General features: G+C 39.6%; 1 annotated feature.

Moving 5' to 3' along the window:
• Positions 1,091 to 1,626: an enhancer, noted in NCBI's record as "OCT4 hESC enhancer chr2:48414573-48415108 (GRCh37/hg19 assembly coordinates)". NCBI's record gives its function as "activates a minimal SCP1, AML or CMV promoter by ChIP-STARR-seq in primed H9 embryonic stem cells {active_cell/tissue: H9 hESC(primed)}" and the evidence as "EXISTENCE:reporter gene assay evidence [ECO:0000049][PMID:30033119]".

Consider the following 1,950-nt stretch of genomic DNA (forward strand, 5'->3'; position numbering starts at 1 on the left):
TTTTTCCCCCTTTTAGTACTCATTTTTATAAAATAAGAGCAAAATGCAAAAAAAGGTATTTAAATAATTGCAAAACAATGCTGGACAAGCAAAGACAGAGACGCAGCCAGACTTGAGACATTGATAGGCTAGCAGTGCATGCAGAAATGTAAATGCTTATTCACCAGCTAACAAGGGAAGGTTTGAATTTAATGTACCATACAGGTGGTGTAGGAGTATCAGTGTAAAAGGTATCAAAGGGTAGATTGTACAAAAGTTGACTGTCCCAAACTCAAGGCCAGCTTAAATATTCTGAATCATAGAAATATTTAAGTAATTACTTGACATATATGATAGAGTTTTAAGGAGATATGCGCAAAATGAATTAATTGAAAATATTAAGATATACCTTCTATTGAAAATGCCTTTTCAAAAGTGTGACAGTTAGAGAAATCTTACATGGCTAAATCCATCTTGTCTCTAGCCTCACAAGTTGGCTGTCTTTCCTCATTCGTGAGCATGGGTCAAGCTAACTTTGAGAGAAGTTTAGTTTATAGTTTAAATCATAATAGCCTTTTCCCAAAACTAAACTGTTTTTGTAAAATTAATGAAAGTCCACCAAGTTAGGAGGGTGAGAGGGGCTTGAATCCTAAATAACTACCAGCTATTATTCCGGAGGTCTTAAAATTTGCAACTTCCCCAATTACTCTTGCAGATAACATCATCCTTGTAAAATCTGAGATTGGTCTTTTGAGATGTCTTTTCAGGTTTTTGCATTTCTGACAATCTGATGCCCCCTTCCCCATCCCAACCCACCAATCAGTCCTGTGGTCCCCACCCAGGAACTGATTCAGCACAAGAGAACAGCTTCAATTTTCTATGATTTCATCTCTGACCCAACCAATCAGCATGCCCCCATCCTAGCACCCTGCCCACCAAACTATCTTTGAAAAACCCCTAACCTCCAAGACTTCAGAAAGATTGGTTTGAGTGATAACTTTGTCTCCCTTGTGGAGTGGCCAGCCTTGTGTCAATTAAACACTTTCTTTACGGTAATGCCATAGTCTCAGTGAGTTGAATTTGTTTGTGCAGCGGGCAGGAAGTTACACCATTAAACATTTATTGAGAATGAGGAAAATACCACTCTAAAATTATAATATAGTTTGTTAAGCACATGACCTTGCACCCAGTAGGTGCTCAATAAATATTTGCTGTAACTGATTTACTCCAAAGAGGTTATTTAGTGTACCCAGAACTTTTGAGAAACCTGCCACAATGTCCAGTCCATTGGCAAAGTGCCTCATTACACCCTCCTCCCTTTTGGAATTACTGATAGAACAGACTCTTTAAGTCTGATAAGAAAGCCTGCTACCTGGAGGCTTCATCTGCATGATAAAAGCTTGGTCTCCACAATCCCTTATTGTAACCCAGACATTCCTTTCTATTGATAATAACTCAACCAATTGCCAATGAGAAAATCTTTGAATTGGCCTGTGACTTGGAAGCCCCCGCTTCCAGTTGTTCTGCCTTTCTGGACTGAACCAATGTACATCTTACCTGTATTAATTGATGCCTTATGTCTCTCTAAAATGTACAAAACCAAGTTGTGGCCCAACTACCTTGGGCATGTGTTCTCAGGATCTCCTGAGGGCCGTGGCATAGGCCACTGGTCGCTCATATTTGGCTCAGAATAAATATCTTCAAACATTTTACAGAGTTTGACTCTTTTCATTGATAGGCTCTTCTTTGTGAGGAGAGAGCAGTTTCTGCCACATAGACAAAATGGCACCCAGGCCAGGACTGGCAGCCACCACTGGAAGCTTCCCGCTGGCAATGGCACCAACTGGTTATTAGTATAGAGACTGCCTCTATAAATGTGGGGCTTCGGTACCCTTGAGGATGGCTTTCGAACATGAAAAGCTCACACAAAAATTACTTTATTTTTAAAAATTCATATTCAAGTTATTAAAG

This window comes from Homo sapiens, chromosome 2 (assembly GCF_000001405.40).
Source record: "Homo sapiens chromosome 2, GRCh38.p14 Primary Assembly".
NCBI classification, from domain to species: domain Eukaryota; kingdom Metazoa; phylum Chordata; class Mammalia; order Primates; family Hominidae; genus Homo; species Homo sapiens.